At 41.8% G+C, this 16,741-nt stretch overlaps 1 protein-coding gene across 15 annotated transcripts in view, besides 1 other annotated feature; it reads right to left on the bottom strand.

The window, feature by feature from the left end:
* Window positions 3,403-3,904: an enhancer, noted in NCBI's record as "H3K4me1 hESC enhancer chr1:231037919-231038420 (GRCh37/hg19 assembly coordinates)". NCBI's record gives its function as "activates a minimal SCP1, AML or CMV promoter by ChIP-STARR-seq in naive H9 embryonic stem cells {active_cell/tissue: H9 hESC(naive)}" and the evidence as "EXISTENCE:reporter gene assay evidence [ECO:0000049][PMID:30033119]".
* TTC13 (tetratricopeptide repeat domain 13) overlaps window positions 7,473-16,741 on the bottom strand; it is a 72,619-nt gene continuing 63,350 nt past the window's right edge. For 14 of the 15 annotated variants that reach the window (NM_001376514.1, NM_001376509.1, NM_001122835.3 and 11 more), the window contains 5 exons: window positions 13,853-13,988; window positions 12,700-12,779; window positions 10,172-10,250; window positions 9,942-10,021; window positions 7,473-8,249 (listed from right to left, as the gene is read on the bottom strand). In NM_001376514.1, coding sequence (NP_001363443.1) covers window positions 8,135-8,249; window positions 9,942-10,021; window positions 10,172-10,250; window positions 12,700-12,779; window positions 13,853-13,988 — 490 coding nt within the window. In that variant the 3' untranslated portion in view covers window positions 7,473-8,134. Of the gene's footprint in view, window positions 8,250-9,941; window positions 10,251-12,699; window positions 12,780-13,852; window positions 13,989-16,741 lie in introns of all 15 variants that reach the window. The other variant, XM_006711814.3, reaches the window with a different exon arrangement.

The following is a 16,741-nucleotide window of genomic DNA, read 5'->3' on the forward strand; positions in this document are numbered from 1 at the left end:
TGAAACCACTAAAAGAGAGGTCTGTTCAAATAAAGGAATTACATTCTGTCAAAGTATAATATACAGTGAAGGGATGGTTAGTCTAGAAATCACCATCCCTTTTATGATTTAACCAAGGGTATCGTATGCGTCTACCCTATGGCACTCTGGATTGGTCCAAGTGGTCACCTGACCTAACCTGGCCCAATCACGAGTCCTTTCCCTGGGATTCTGGGACTACAGCTGCGAAGGATGGGCTGTCTTTGGGTCGCCGATGCAAAGCTGAACACTGGTAGTAGCCCTGCACCCACCACGTTGGGAGAACAGGTTTGCAGATGGAGAGAGGAGCAGAAAGGAGAGATAGAGCCCGCTTCCAGCACAGCTGAAACATTTTGAGGGTCCAGGGCCAGAATATAAACGGACCCACCTATCACGTATCTAAAGACTTGGAAGTTATAAATCCATTGTCAAATAAAACATATCCTGTCTTCCTACCTTAATAAATGTATCTTCATGAGAAAAAAAAAATGGATATGGAACATGTGTAAAGCTACAGGTTTAACATATTCAAAAGTTTGCAAAATGCCTAAGACCAGTGCATTTAATCATTATTACACATTTGGTGTTCTCAATAGGCTCTGACATCAGCCAGAGTAATAAAGATATGCATGATTCAAAAATCACATTAATTCCTTAAAATGTATCATTCTTGCCTTCATTTCAGCAAAATCACTAATGTGGTTATATTCAAGATTTTTACTGAATTTGTGCTCTATCATGAGTTATGGATTAAAAAGAATTTTTAAAAAGATGTAATTGTAGTAAAAATATACCAAATCTGAATATATTTTTTAAAAATTTAAATAAATGTAAACATTTTTAAACTTGATTTTTAAAAAAATTTTTACTTTTAAAGTGTTCAATATGATCTATTAAAATTAAAGGCAGTGTGTGGATTATAATTTACAAATATTAAATTAAAACTCAAACCTTTAAAGCTAAATTTTATTTTAAAAATATAATTGCAATTTTAAATATAAAAATTATTTGCAATTCTAGCATTCGATGTCCATCTGGTTACCAGTGTAAAGAACTGGCATCATGCTTTACCTGTTGTGGCTAGACCTGCATATCTTAAGTTACCACGTGCAACTGTCACATAGGCCATGCTAATTCATGCGAACCTCCTGAATTGAAACAAAGCAAAGAAAAAAACAATCTAGACTACTGGAAAAAGGCACGTCACTATGTAAGAATCCAGTGCATTTATACTATCCGAAGGGAAGAATTTGACAAAATAGTTTTTTCCCCTCTTATCTAAGGCATTTCGATTGCTCAAGTAATTTTTGGAAGGAATGTGCCAGCATGTAATTTCAGTATTATTGGTCTCCCAAGGATGTGGAGCACAAAACCAGGCTGCTCAGTGGTCAAGCTAGCATCTCACTCAGAGGGCCAGAGCTGTGCTCCTACCCACACACATTACCAAAATCAGAGTATTGGTTAACGCTGCCCTGAAGGGAGAGCAAGAAGAAACCTAACAGATACAGAAAGGGAAAGAAGAAGGGTCAAGTTGCATAGGAACAGAAGAATGAAGATTATTTTAATGAAAATGTTCTTGTAATAAAAGGATTACAAAGTCAAGATTTTACTTCTAAGGCTCTTAAAATACAAGTGTTCATAGATGATAATTTTTAAAATCACAAACAGAAATATAATATTAATTGTTATAATGATAGGAGTGTTTCTGGAAAAAAATTGGAGGTGTAAAGGCTGGAGTAAGCCTGAGATAAGGTGATTTTTCTTATTGGATTAATCTTAACAGAAATCACTTATAGGCTGACACAAAATAAATGGGGTGATAATATAATGGATGAAAATCAGATTTTATAATACAAAAGAAAACAGCTATAAGAATGGACCAATATTAATTAAATGACACTTGGTGGAGGCAAAAAGATTAAATGGTAAAGCTTTATTAAACAGACACAGCTGCTAGGGAAGACGGAAGTTAGAGATTTTTAGTTGACTTGGGTCAATAGTGTGATGAAGCTGCCTTCGAGAGCTACTGTAGTCTGCTGTGTTTATATGAAATCTGTGATGTATATTTATTTATATGTATAAACATGTGTTCACATACATTCTGGGGTGCTGGTAATGTTCTGTTTCTTGATCTCAAAGCTGGTTATGTTAGGTTTGTGAAGATTCACCAATGTGCACACACATGTGCATTTTTTGTATGTATGTTGTACTTCAATTAAAATATTTTATGGGACAGACCACATGTGGACTATTATGTTTAGTTATGAACATTTATTTCATTTTAAGGAGTATGAAGAGGCGGTGGGAGGAGCCACAGAAGGAGCTATTTAGGCTGAACAAGCGAAGGCCCGGCAGGGGAGCTGTCTGAAGTTTTTTTGTGCATTCCGCTCAATGATGGTGTTTACCTAGGTTGACCGCCAGCTCCGTGGCACTACCTGAGTGACCTCTGGGCAGCTACTCACCTCTTTTTGTCCCAGCTTCCTCAACAGCAAATTACAGGAGCTTGACTAGATGATCTGAGAACTCCTTAGCTCTCAAGTGCTATGAGCATTAAAAGGCATGTGTATAAAACAAGTATACATGTATCAGAGTTAGTTGGTTCTCCCACTCATGTTTTTCTTACATGTTGTATTTTTTTTTTTATCCAGCTGTGAAACTGGATGGTTAACATTTATGTACTTACCTGAAACAGAAAGTGCTACATTCACTTTAGAAGTTACTTCTATACCAAACTGGTAATTCAAGGAGTTAATTTGCATGTAAAAATTGTTCTAGTACTTTGCATTAGAAGCCTACTAATGGAAAGATTCATTGATTCAGAATCTATTTTTGGACAGAGATGTATTATTTTAAATTCTGATCCTAGTAAGTGACAATTTCCAGTTTTTGTTGGGCTTATACATAAGCCTTGACAAATCTGATCATTTTGACATGATCTCTAGAGTTGTGTTACACAACAAGCCAATCCGCCTGGCCCCCGATGGATGACTGCTGGAAGCCCCTTGAGTAATATGGTGGCATTTCTACCTGGTAGACAGCCAAAAGCAATCAAGCTCCTTGACAGAAGGGCTTATTTGTTTAAGGCTAAGAATGCGGCAGTCAAATCCCCGCTGGCCCCACCACCACTCTCCACTGAGGACTTACTACGCATGGCAAACACACTAGGCAACATTCAAGAGCTATGACAGGCAAGTCACTTCTCCCACCTGAGCCCGTTTGTCACCTAAGTGGGGATAATACTAGCACTTATCTCACAGGCCTCTTCAAAGGATTAAATGAGTGAAACAATGTACAACACTTAGAAAAAATTGGCCAGGCGCCGTGGCTCACGCCTGTAATCCCAGCACTTTGGGAGGCCGAGGTGGGCGGATCACGAGGTCAGGAGATCGAGACCATCCTGGCCAACATGGTGAAACCCCCCCCTCTCTACTAAAAATACAAAAATTAGCTGGGCGTGGTGGCGTGCGCCTGAAGTCCCAGAAACTAGGGAGGCTGAGGCAGGAGAATCGCTTGAACCCGGGAGGCGGAGGTTGCAGTGAGCCGAGATTGCGCCATCGCACTCCAGTCTGGGCAATAAAGAGAGACTCTGTCTCGGGATTAAAAAAAAAAAAAAAAAAAAAAAAAGGAAAGAAAAATGCCAGCCGTAGTAAGTGCTTAAAACACATTAGCTCCCGAAGGGCCCCAAACCCTGGAGACAGAAGCATCCGGTTGCAACCCCTCATCCCTCGAGAGGTGGCAGCAAGCCTTATAGGGAAGCCCAAGCCCAAGCCCAGTGTGGCATAGAATAGAGCAGGGGGCCCGCAGGGAGCCTCCACAATGGCAGGAGTTCTGCACGCTCAGTACCGGTAGCCCAGGGCTCTGGAGGTAGAGAAGTCTGCGGACCAGCCGGAGGAGGCCGAAGAGGCAGCGCATGCGCTGTTGGCCAGCGGACCCGAGCGGGCAGAGGTCAATCAACAGTAGACGCTGTACCCACTGAGGCTTGCTGCCCTAGCACAGGGAGCATGAGCTAAACCTCAGTGCGGAGGATCTGGGCAAAGGCCCGAGGGTGGCCAAGACGCCTGGCTCAGGAAATCAGACTGTCCCCCGAAGGGCGAAGGCAAGGAGGCTGGGAACTTAAACAAGGCAATTCAAAACTGCACGTCTGTGTCACCTTGAATGGGCACAAGTTAAACTCTTTATTGGAGCTTGTGAACCAAGTTGTGTTCAACTAAGCTGCCTGTGTTCAAGACTTAATTACATATATATGTGTATATCCAACTTAAAATGTTACAAATATATTTATTGACATATAATTCATTATGTGTTAATTGAAAAAAGTAAATTTTAAAAATTAAGCACAGTGTAGTGTGATCTCATTTTGTATATCCAACTTTCTGTAGACTAGTTTAACTGGTAAAATTTATGTTTACAACATATAAAACTAAAGGGATTCTATATTTATGGGAACATAGTTTGAAGCAAAAAGGGCTACTGTAAATCTAATCACAGCTCTAATATTCAAGAACATACTTGTTTTCATGATATTCTAGTTTGATGTTTCTCAGGTGTGGTTCCCAGACCACTTCTGTGTGAAGCACGTGAGGTTTAGGTGAAGATGGAGATCCCGGGCCTAACCACAGACACCTTGGATCAGAAAACAGAAGGAAACGTTTCAAGCCAGTCTAGAAGTGTTTTTTCTTTCTTTCTCTAATTTGTGCCCCCATGCTGCCACCAAACACTGTGGTTTTGACCCTAAAACCTCCTGGACCCTTGCTTAAGACCACCGGGATGCGCAGTGTGTTGGGTTGGGGGGATAGCAGTGTGTTTGCTTTCAGGATAGCAGTGCTGCTCAGTGGGATGTTCTGTGATGATGGGGCTGTCCCATGTCTGCTCTGTCCAATGTGATAGCTGCTAGCCACATGTGGCTACTGAGCACTTGAAAGGCAGCTAGGGAGACAGAAACAAGCGTTCGATTTAGTTTAATATTGATTAGTTTAGCTTTAAGTAGCTTGGGCTTGGGGGTAACAATGGAGATGGTAAGACATGAATGGATCTGGGATCTTCTTAGAGGTAAACAGGATCGGACTGGATGGTGATCATTTGAAAACTGCAGGAGGGCAGTGTAGACTCTGGAGGCTGCCTGGGTGTCTGGCTGAAGCTGCTGAGTGAAAAGGGAACCATTTCTGACACAGAGAAGCGTGGGGAGAAACAGACTTTGGGTGAAGGAATGATGGGCTCCATTACAGACATCTTAAGATGTATTCATGAACACTCAGATTTTGCTGGTCTGGGACACAGTGGGTTTCTTTAGGTGATTTTGCTGGTCTCTCTTTCTGAGGCATATCAATTTTATTCCATATTTCCAAATTATCAGAGAGTAATGATCACAGAGTTGGAGGTCAGTTTCCTGTCCCTCATACAGTTTCTATACCAAAGAAATTCCACACTAAAGTTCTTAATGTACTAGCAAATTTTGCTCTAGATTTTTTAAAGTTAGTTTTTTTTTTTTTTTTTTTTGAGGCGGAGTCTCGCTCTGTCGCCCAGGCTGGAGTGCAGTGGCGGGATCTCGGCTCACTGCAAGCTCCGCCTCCCGGGTTCACGCCATTCTCCTGCCTCAGCCTCCCAAGTAGCTGGGACTACAGGCACCCGCCACTACGCCCGGCTAATTTTTTTGTATTTTTAGTACAGACGGGGTTTCACCGTTTTAGCCGGGATGGTCTCGATCTCCTTACCTCGTGATCCGCCCGCCTCGGCCTCCCAAAGTGCTGGGATTACAGGCGTGAGCCACCGCGCCCGGCCTTTAAAGTTAGTTTTTTAAAAGTCTGAACATCTTGATCCACAGGAGCAATTTTATCGATAGAACTGTGATACCGAGGTAATAAGAAAGCTATATCTGATCTCTGCCCTCCAGTTCCTGGCACAGAGCTCGTAAAACTCTTGGTATTTTCTGAGTGATCGGGATGAGAAGTGTTTTTTGTTATTAATAAGCACCTTCCAACCATATCTGAATTTATGCTGATGAGATGACTCTTGGAGGATGGGGGTTGGGGGCCAGAGAAACTAACCATGTGATTAGAGGAACTTTCAGTCCTAACCCCCAGCCTCCAGAGAGAAAAGAGGGGCTGAGAATTGACCTAATTGGCAATGATTTAATCAACCATGCCTATGCAATGGAACCCCCATAAAAACCCTAAGTGAAAAGGTTTGGGGGTTTTTGGTTGGTGAACACTTCCAGGTGGGGGGACGGTGGTGGGCCTGGAGAGCGCACGGAAGCTCCATGCTGCCCCCCCATACCTTGCCCTGTGCACCTCTTCCATTTGGCTGTTCATGTGTATCCGATATAACAAATCAGTAATAGTAAGTAAAGGGTGTCCCTGAATTGTGTGAGCCATTCTTGCAAATTATCAAACATGAGGAGGGAGGGTGTGATGGGAACCCCCGAGTTATAGCCAATCAGTCAGAAGTACAGGAGGCCCTGACTTGCAACTGGCATCTGAAAAGGGGGCAGTCTTGTGAGACTGAGCCCTTAACCTCTGGGGTCTGTGTTAACTCCAGGAAGTTAGTGTCAGATGTGAATTGCAGGATCCCTCCCCACTCCAGCTGATATATGGAAAGCTGCATAATTGGTTGCTATGCGGGGAAAACTCCATATATCTGGTATGGGAACTCTTGCGAATAAAAACAGATCATAGTAAGAGCTTAGCTACTCAGGCAAGTCTATAACCACAAATTCAAAATGATATTAACTTACACTGGGAGACCACCATTCTGGATTATTTCTGTGGAAAAACCTTTAAAGTCTCACTAGGAACTCTGTAGGCTGCATGGGCCAATATAATAACCACTAGCTACATGCAGCTATTTGAATTTAAGTTAATTAAAACTAAATGTGAAACTCAGCTCCTCAGGCATACTAGTCCTGTTTCAAGTGCTCAGTAGCCACATGAGGTTACTGACTACCATACTGGCAGCACACAGAACATTCTGGAATGTCATCACAGAATTTCTATCGGACAGTGTCAAGCTAACTGTAAGGTTCTCAAGAAAGGAAAAGGCTAGGGGAGTTGATGGTGCAAACAAAGGACAGTGTGGGGAGTAAGAGATTCAATCAGAGAAACACAGCCACGTCAGCTAGGCTACAGCAGGAGACTGCGTTTCATTTTAGGACAAAAGGAGGCTGTGGGGTTTAAACCGAGCAGCAGCAGGAATATGAGTCAGGAGACTCCGGAAGTGGTCCAAGAGAAATTACAATGGACAGGGAGAAGTGGCCAAGCAAAGAGATGGGTGTGCATCCTGTAGAAGGGAGAGAAGAGCAAGCTTGCTAATGGATGGTGCCATTTGGAAACAGCAACAGTTTTAATTAACTCATTTTACTCACTGTCATTTACCCTGTCTGGGAAAAAAAACAAGAGAGACTTTCTGAATGTTCTTATACCTGAAAGTGAAACTGGTTCACAAAATAAACACATACATAATCCAATGCCAAAAACTGGTGATTTATAGAAATCACCCTGGTTTATTTTTTTCAACAAAGGAAAAAAAAACATGGTTCAATAATTCAGCATTTGGGACTCTGGCAAGTACTGTCTGCATTGTTCAAAATAAGTGTTCCTGGCTGTGAGCTCTGCAACACATACTGATGGCCCAGGAACCTTCTTCCATGGTTCTAATAAAACAAAGGACCCACACATGGAGGTTACGTGAGTCAACAAAAGATGCTCTATCACAATGTGCGTAAAAAGCAAGTCTTTGAAAAATATCCAGATCTCTAAAGGAATACAAACACTCCTATTTGGTTTTGTTTTTGTTCATCTTCAGTATTATATTTTAGTTGTTGAGGAAAATTTTTTTTACTGTAAGGAAGGAGTTATATGACTTTATAAGTGGGAACCAACAGGCTGCCGGCTAATACATACGCTTTCCCTCCAAGTCAAGTAGCTTTTTCCCCCCGAAAGCCTCTTTCATGATTTTCATTATGGTTCAGAAAAGTAAAGAAAATGATTTCAAGTATTCAATTCCTATAAAAATTGGTATCAAAAGTAATAGAGGACCTAATTTCTTTATAATTCCATGTTTTAAAAAATAACTTAAGAAGCAAGAGGTCCGGCCCTTTACTTGTATAAATACAGCAGCAGAACTAGAGTTTCTTAAGACAACGTGGAGAAGAGTCTGTGTTTAGCACCTCAATCATCGATCTTAACGTTGGAAACGTTTCTGATACTGATGGAAGAGTCTTATAAGAAGGTGAAATACTGAAAAAGAAAAACACAAAGTAGCGGCATGAAAATTAACAAAATTTGCAAAAAAAGGGCAGAGCTTATATTTATTCCTATCATTATATTTATTATATTCATGTTGTAATATCAAACAGTGTTAGAAAGGCAGGGAGGAGCTGTGAACAGAATGGCTCCTCTCACAACAACGGCCTGCGGCATCAGCCAACACGTTACAAGTCGCTTGGAAGTTAAGCCAGAGCTTTGAAAAAGAAAATTAAACTCTGATTTACATGTCCAGCTGTGGTGCATGCTGGGCTTGGAATCAAAAGACACAGGTTTCAGGTCCAGCTTCACTCCTTATTAGCTTTCTTTACTTCTCTAGGCTGCACTTCCCTGATCTGTCACAGGGACAGTGTTCTTAACTCGCAAAGTTACCATGAGCTCTGAATGAGATAAGGTATTTCAAGGTACGCTGTAAAGCGTTAACTGCAGGATGTAAGGTAGCATTGTTATTCTTTCCTTAAAGAATTGTCAAAAGATTCACACTGTACAATTATGTAAGAATAGAAGCAAGACCTTCGGCCTGGTGGTTGTATTACTAAAACATGTGCAAACTAATAAGCCTGAAACAACAATGTACCAGGACAAGGTGTAACTGTTAGAAGCTTTCATTGCAAAGCTAAATTACAAATTGAGCAATGGTAGACTACAGGCACAAATATTTCTGTTTTAAACAGAACATAAATTACCCAGCAATAGAGTGGTTGCTATGTCAAATAGACGTGAAAGGCAAAACTGGGGGTGGTTGGGATGTAAAAAACCAGGAGAAGGGGCAAAAATAACTAAAGTTGAACAGTGAGGCTTACTTATTCTTCATTAACTACTGAGGCATCTATGAGTTTAATTTCACACACTTCAAATTCACACAGTCCTCTCCAGTGCTTCTGGAAACAAGAGCCAGGAACGATCATGGTCTGCTAGACTCCTCACACACAGTGTCCGTCAGGGATAATTCCTGGCTGCAATAAAATGCAACCAAGTAGGCTAAGTGCTACCACTCAGAGTAATGTAAAATGGGCTCTGTCTACAAGTTCAAACACTCCTGAATACTGAGCCTAAGAGTAAACAGGCCAAGAGAAGTGAATACCTGATCATATAAATAAGACTTTGGTAATTTTCTTTCACCAACTACTTTTTAAATTTTTTATTCATGGTTCTTTAAGAGTCAGGGTCTCACTCTGTCACCCAAGCTGGAGTGCAGTGGTGCAACCATAGCTCACTGCAGCCTCAAACTCCTAGGCTCAAGAGATCCTCTCGCTTCAGCCTCCCAAGTACTTGGGACTACAGGCACACACCACCATGCCCAGCTAATTTTAAATTTTTTTGTAGAGGGGAGCAGTTTCACTATGTTGCCCAGGCTGGTCTCGAACTCCTGGCCTCAAATGATCCTTCCACCTCAGCCTCCCAAAGTGCTGGGATTACAGGTATGAGCTACTGTGCCTGGCCTTCATAGTCCATTTTTATCCATACATTCACCCTTAAAAGGTTATCTTATACAACAGCAAAACATTTTAACCTTGAAAAAGTGAATTAAATTCATTGTATTACATATTAACTTATAAAAATGAGTATAACAGTTCCAGTTTTCATAGCGCTCCAAAGTAACAGGAAACTCCTTTTCCTCCTCCAGTTATGATACCCTTGTGTGGACCCCCCTCAAGTAGTTACCTTTTCAAGTTCATCCAGCTTTTGGCGACTTTGCTAAAGGCCTCTGAACCAGGGGCTGTCATAGCTTCAAAGTCGACTAACTGAAAAAGAAAGACATTTAGGAATGTTACTAAACATGGAGGACACAGGCTCGGCTGGAGATCTATGTAACTCGTGTACCTTAAAATAAAAATCCATAAATTGGGACTTAATACATAACCAAGCATTTCTCCCTTCCCGCTCCAACATACCTTCCCTTTGGGAATTTTTCCTGCTACTTCTTTTCCACTTGCCATCAGTGCTCCCACGATGACCGAGTAAGCAATTACACTATTTAAATAAAGAACAAAGGTCAATCCATCCTGGACGGTCTACAGTTACCATGTTAAATTTCACCATGGACTTCCCATCATGAAAGATAAAATTTATTCAAAAATTCTTTCAAATAAAACACCGAATGTTTCATTTAACATGAAAATATGCCTATTTGTTTAAGAATAGTTACTAATTTACTATTAGAATATATTTACTGGCCAGGTGAGGTGGCTCACACCTGTAATCCCAGCACTTTGGGAGGCCAAGGTGGGCGGATCGCTTGAGGTCAGGAGTTTGACAGCAACATGGCGAAACCCTGTCTCTACTAAAAACACAAAAATTAGGCCAGGCATGGTGGCTCACACCTGTAATCCCAGCACTTTGGGAGGCCGAGGTGGGTGGATCACTTGAGGTCAGGAGTTCGAGACCAGCCTGACCAACATGGCAAAACCCCATCTGTAACAAAAATACAAAAAATTATCCAGGAGTGGTGGCATGTGCCTGTAGTCCCAGCTACTTGGGAGACTGAGGCAGAAAAATTGCTTGAACCCGGGAGGCAGAGGTTGCAGTGAGCCGAGATCGCTCCACCGCACTCCAGCAATGCATGTATACAATAAAGTTCATAAATACAAATACATATGTTAGTCTTACTTTTTAAGCATTAGAAATGCTGGCCTTCAAAGAAGAAATGCAGAATACATTCTCACAATGTACTAACGGACAGATGGTTTGGAGATTTGGGCATGTGTGTGAACTGCCAGGGCTCCAAGGTGGCTGTTAGAGGCCAGGGGATTGTGGGGTACCTTTGCCTGCTGGCTCGGAGGCTCGTGGGGCAAGGTCTGCTGCCCTGTCACTCCAGAACGAGTGTAGAGCTGCGAGTGTGCAGGTCTGGGGTAGGAGGCATTTGTAAGACGTTGTGCTTCTGCTCTTGGTGAGGGAAGAGAGGGAGCTGACTGGTTTTGGGTGGAAGGGGCTGGCAAAAGGCCATGGGACCCACTATTGTAACCACAGTGTTGTGCTTTTCCCAAAACAAATCGGCTCAAAATAAAGACAGCTCTCACCCATGAGATAATGCATCCTAGCAGGTGGAAAGGATGGCACGAGCACCTGAGAAAGCTAACAAGTGCCATGGGTGGACACCAAGAAAAGTGAGTCAAGGTGATTCATGGGGTTCTCCAGCAGGGAAGACTTCAGAGGCTAAAGACATGTGCTCTGCAACCTCCAGGGTCCCAGGGCTGAAGATGAAAGGGGCAGAGAAGGCAGGGAGATGTGGCAGAGAGCCCACGTGGAAAGCCAAGGGGAAGCAAAAGAGCCACGGAAGAGAGCGGTGCTGCAGCCAAGGCAAACCAGGGCAGGGCAGGGCTAGCACTGCGCACTGTGTATGCTGCCAAGCTCGGCTTAAACCCATGGTTTTCAGAAGGTGCTGGAGAGCCGCAGGGCACAGAGAGGAGCAGGAGCAAAGCTAGCTGTGGCGGGTACAGGGAAGAGAGAAACAGAAGTGTGGGAGGCAGAATCAACAGACTATTTAGGATTGAAGAGATGTAGGGATGAGGCAGAGTTGAGGACAATCAGAGCTGCACGTCCTTCAATGTCACACGTGAGCCAGCAGAGCTGCTGTGAGGACAAAGGACGGATGCTGGCTGTTGAGTACAGTGGGGCCCACAAGCGGTGATGTGCACAGGCCTCACATCCCTTATTCAGTGGACACAACTAGCAATATTATGCTGATAAGACAACATTTATGTTTCTATTTTGTTTCAATGAGTCTTAAATTCTATAACCAAATTTACTACCACACTTAGGGGAGTTTTACTTTCTAAGCCATTAATCAAAGATAAAGACATTCAAGTGTATTATTTTTAGCCAAAACATCTTAAGTTCAACTATGTGCCAGTAATGGCAAAAGGCCATTTACATAATTTACTGCACACAGTGCTGGGAAAAGGAGAATGAAATGAAAACTCTACAGTCATAGCTCTTGTTTTAATGATACCTAAAAAACTCCTGATATACAAGTAGCAAGAATTTATCCAAAATAATAAAAATAGTACAGAGTGACTGTTGGCCCAAAAGTATAAAACATGAGGATTATGGGTCACCTGACAGCCCAAAATGGAAAAGGAAGAGGAGGAGGAAGAGGTTCAGTAAGAGGCTGGCAGATACAAAAAATTAAAACACACTGAGCACGGCACATGATACACAGTAAACTTTCCATGAACTTGTGTTGAATGGATGAATCCCTATCCTATTAAACGTAAGCACACTATATTAGAACTGTCTTCTATAATTCTTTTGCTGATGTGATAGACTAAGGAAATATTTTTTTGTGCAGATTTTGGAAAAAAATAGGGAGCTCCTTACCATTTCTTTGTGTACTCTGTACCTATATCCATAACAGGAAGGATAAGCAAAAAAGAACACATTTCTCAATTTAAAATAATTTTAATGACAGGATATTACTTACCTGGATCCTCGAGAGAGTGGCATTAAATTATAAAAGTAATAAACTAAGGATAAGATTAAGTTGCAGACAGCATCAGCCTCCTAGAAAAAAAAGATACAGACTCATAAATACTATAAAGATTACAAACTAATTTTTCATTAGGTGACAGAACACACAAGAATAATCTACATCAAGAAGAGGATTGTTTTCTTCCTCCCCCATAAGAATCTACTTTTCAAATTCTTGAATATTCTATACCCTTTTGTATCATTTTTTTCCAATTTAGTTCAATTTAGAGCAATGTTTTCCCAGCTGTTTCTTAAACTGCAACTCTTGGATAAACATAAAAATCTCAGTCTCCTTTAACGTTATTTGAAATGTCAAAATATATATTGTGACTAAAATTTTAAAAGGCATTTATTAACACCAAATATGTTCTCTCAAACAACATGTACCTTACCCCAAAAGATCTGGGTAAGCCCCTTCCCCTACTCCGCATTGAGATTTGGATGATGCTCAATTATGTGTATAAACTTAGATGTTTAATTATATGGATGCAGTGATTAAATGTTGGAGAAATAAGGTGACTTTTCAAGGGTAAGGGGCACCCGTCCACTGCAGAACACAGAGAAGGGGCGTGGTGGGGAGAGAATGTCCACCATACCCTGCTGCCTGTAACGACTCCACCTCGAGTCCAAGCAGACAACCAAAGAAGAAGGCCACAGACCAGGAAAGGGCCGCCAAGTGCAAAGTATACACAACTTCATTATACTTTCCTTGCCATTAACTCATCAGAATGCATCATCCAGTTTACATTCAAAAGCTCCTTGTAAATATACGGTTATAAGCAACAACCGCAACGAAGGGAAGAAAATGGAAGAAAAAGGTGAAGCCCAGGTCATTTTCATTATGGACCAGCTTTTTTATATCTTGTCAAAGCCCAAACTTATGATAATGTCATAGTGCAGTACTAAATTATTAATTTATTATCCTCCCCATTACTGTAGTTACTAAATACAAGAATTTTTGCCTATAAGAAATAAGAAATATTTTTAGGTCAATTCAACCCAATTTCAAGCATAAGATGTACAATCTCAGTGAAAGGGCAGAGGTTCAAAAAATTTACAAAAGAATCATAGGAAGAGCAGAAAAATGGAAACAAAGAGAAACCTACCCCAAATTCTGATGAAAGAATCAATACTTTTCCTTTTGCTGTCAAATCTTTATAAAGTGCATCTATTTCAGCATGATATAATTGTGTCCTTTCTTCCGTGGTTTGAGTTTCCACAGAAAATAATATATTGCCAACTCTGAAAATACAAAAATAAGTGTGAAAGGCATGTATTATAAGTTCAAACAGCCAAACACAGAAAGTTTTTTTTAAAAAGCAAATAGCATACTGACGTAGCACTAAACATATACAAGAATGTACCTTACCTTTCTAACTATAGACAAGCAAGGTAGGTTTCATGAGAATGCATTCTTTCTTCATAAAATGTGATAGTTGCCTCACCTTTAAGTGACCAGTAACTCATTTGCTCACAGTTAAGTCTAACTACATGTACTTATTACACAAACTTAAGCTAATATATGGGAAAACAATGACACATAGTAAAGAATGCATTTAAATAACCAGTAAATATTTTCTAAGCCACCCCATTAGGATTAAAGGTCAGAAGCAAGAACTGTGTGTAGGAAGAAAGTTCAGGGACTACACCATGGTTCTGTTTTTTATCAAAACAAAAAAAAAGTGGAGCTGAAGCTCCACTGAGGTTCTGTGGAGGATATAAGTTTGATACAACAGGCATTTTTTGTATAACGCCACTAGCAAAGTGTTGCATTTAGTCCTCGGAGCCTACAAAGAAAAGCTCAGCTGCTGCCTTGATTGAGGAAGGAAGGAAGAAACGGGGCCACAAATTATTATTATAAGAAATGGGATCTTGCTCTACCACCCAGGCTGGAGAGCATTGGCATGATCATAGCTCACTGCAGCCTCAAACTTTTGGGCTCAAGTGATCTTCCCGCCTCAGCCTCTTGAGTAGCTGGGACTACTGGTATGCACCTGTAGTTATTTTTAAAAATCTGTTGCAGAGGCAGGGTCTCACCATGTTGCCCAGCCTGGTCTCAAACTCCTGGCCTCAATCTTCCCATCTTGGCCTCCCAATATGCTGGTATGAGCCACCACTTCTGGCCAAGGGCCACAAATTATTATGAAACCATGACTCAGGTCATAATGTAGCTCATCAGAGGTTCAAAAAAGGAATCTAATTTGGACAACATAGAGAAAAGCAGGAAAGGTCTCATGGGAGAAGTGGCCTGAACATGGGTCGGGATGGGAGTGAGAGACCCAGACATTGGAAAGCAGGGGTGAACTGGGGAACAAGCATTCCAGTCGGACTAGCAGGCCAGGTTCCAACAGGGAGATGGTCCAGGTCAAGCAGGAAATGTCTGAGGCCACTTTGTGAGAGGCTGTGAATGCCTGGCAGGGAAGCTGGTTTGGGTAGCCACAGGCAATGGCTGGGTATGGAGAGGGGAGAGATTTGTGGAGCTAGGGGAACGTCCAGTGAGGTGGAGCTCTAGCAACATTGGTGAAGTGCTGGTGAAGCAGGAGACAGAAGATGGGATGCCAGGCAGAGTCGACTCGAGGGGTCAGGAGGCCCAGAGCAAGGGAGGCAACAAGTGAGGTGAAGCAGGAAATTGAGGAAAGATGTCACGTTTCAAGGGGAGAAATTTCATGTACAGTTGACCCTTGAACAACATGGGTTCGAACTGCATGGATCCACTTATACGAGGATTTTCTTCCACCTCTGCCACCCCTGAGACAGCAAGACCAACCCCTCCGTATCCTCCTCCTCAGCCTACTCAACGTGAAGATAGTAAGGATAAAGACCTTTATGAGGATCCACTTCCACTTAATACATAGTTAAGTATATTTTCCTTATTATTTTCTTTTTTTTTCTCTTTTTGAGATGGAGTTCACTCTGTCACCAGGCTGGAGTGCAGTGGCATGATCTCGGCTCACTGCAACCTCCCCGTCATGGGTTCAAGCGATTCTCCTGCCTCAGCCTCCAGAGTAGCTGGAATTACAGGTGCGCGCCACCAGGCCTGGCTAATTTTTGTATTTTTAGTAGAGATGGGATTTCACCATATTGGTCAGGCTGGTCTCGAACTCCTGACCTAGTGATCCGCCCGCCTTGGGCTCCCAAAGTGCTAGGATTACAGGCGTGAGCCACTGCGCCCGGCCGACTTTCTTAATAACATTTTCTTTTCCCTAGCCTACTTTACTGTAAGAATACAAAATATAATATATATAACATATAAAATATATGTTAATCAGCTGTTTATGTTTTTGGTAAGGCTTCTGGTCAACAGTAGGCTATTAAGTTTTGGGGTAGTCAAAGGTTATATGCAAATTTTTGCCTGCTGGGGTGGGAAGGTCAATCCACCTAACCCCTGAGTTATTCAAAGATCAACTGTACTTATATAGTAATTTCATTTCTGCTTAGGAATCTGATCTGAGGATACACATCGTGGATGTGTGAAAAGGTAGGAGAACACTTTTTATGTTAAATAGCACAACCTGCAATCAGGGGAGAATGATCTTTATTGGGAACGTACTTTGATAAGAAGCTTGAGGTAGAGATCAAGACTTCAAAGATATAGAAAAGCCCTGAAATCTGGAAGTTGCTGAACTGGTGTTTACTCATGAAGGCCTGTTTAAGTTTTGACATGGAACTTGAAGAGGTGGCTCCTTGTAGTTTAGAGGAAAAGTATGTGAGAAAGCCAGAGCCCAAGAGGCAGAGGGGCTGGAGAATGTGAGTCATAGTCTCACTGCTGAGCAGGTGGAAACCAGGGGGAGGGCATGGCACTTCCCAAGGCTATGCACCTGAATATGGGGTGTGTGTGTATGTGTGTGTGTGTGTGTGCACAGCTCAAGGCAATTCCACCCACAATTCAAGGAATATGGAGGCTGACAGACAAAGCTTGGATTTCAGATGTAAATAAAACTAGAGTTAATAAAAATGTTTACTGCAGTGCTATTTATAAAGCAAAACAATGAGAA

This window comes from Homo sapiens, chromosome 1 (assembly GCF_000001405.40).
Source record: "Homo sapiens chromosome 1, GRCh38.p14 Primary Assembly".
Lineage (NCBI taxonomy): Eukaryota > Metazoa > Chordata > Mammalia > Primates > Hominidae > Homo > Homo sapiens.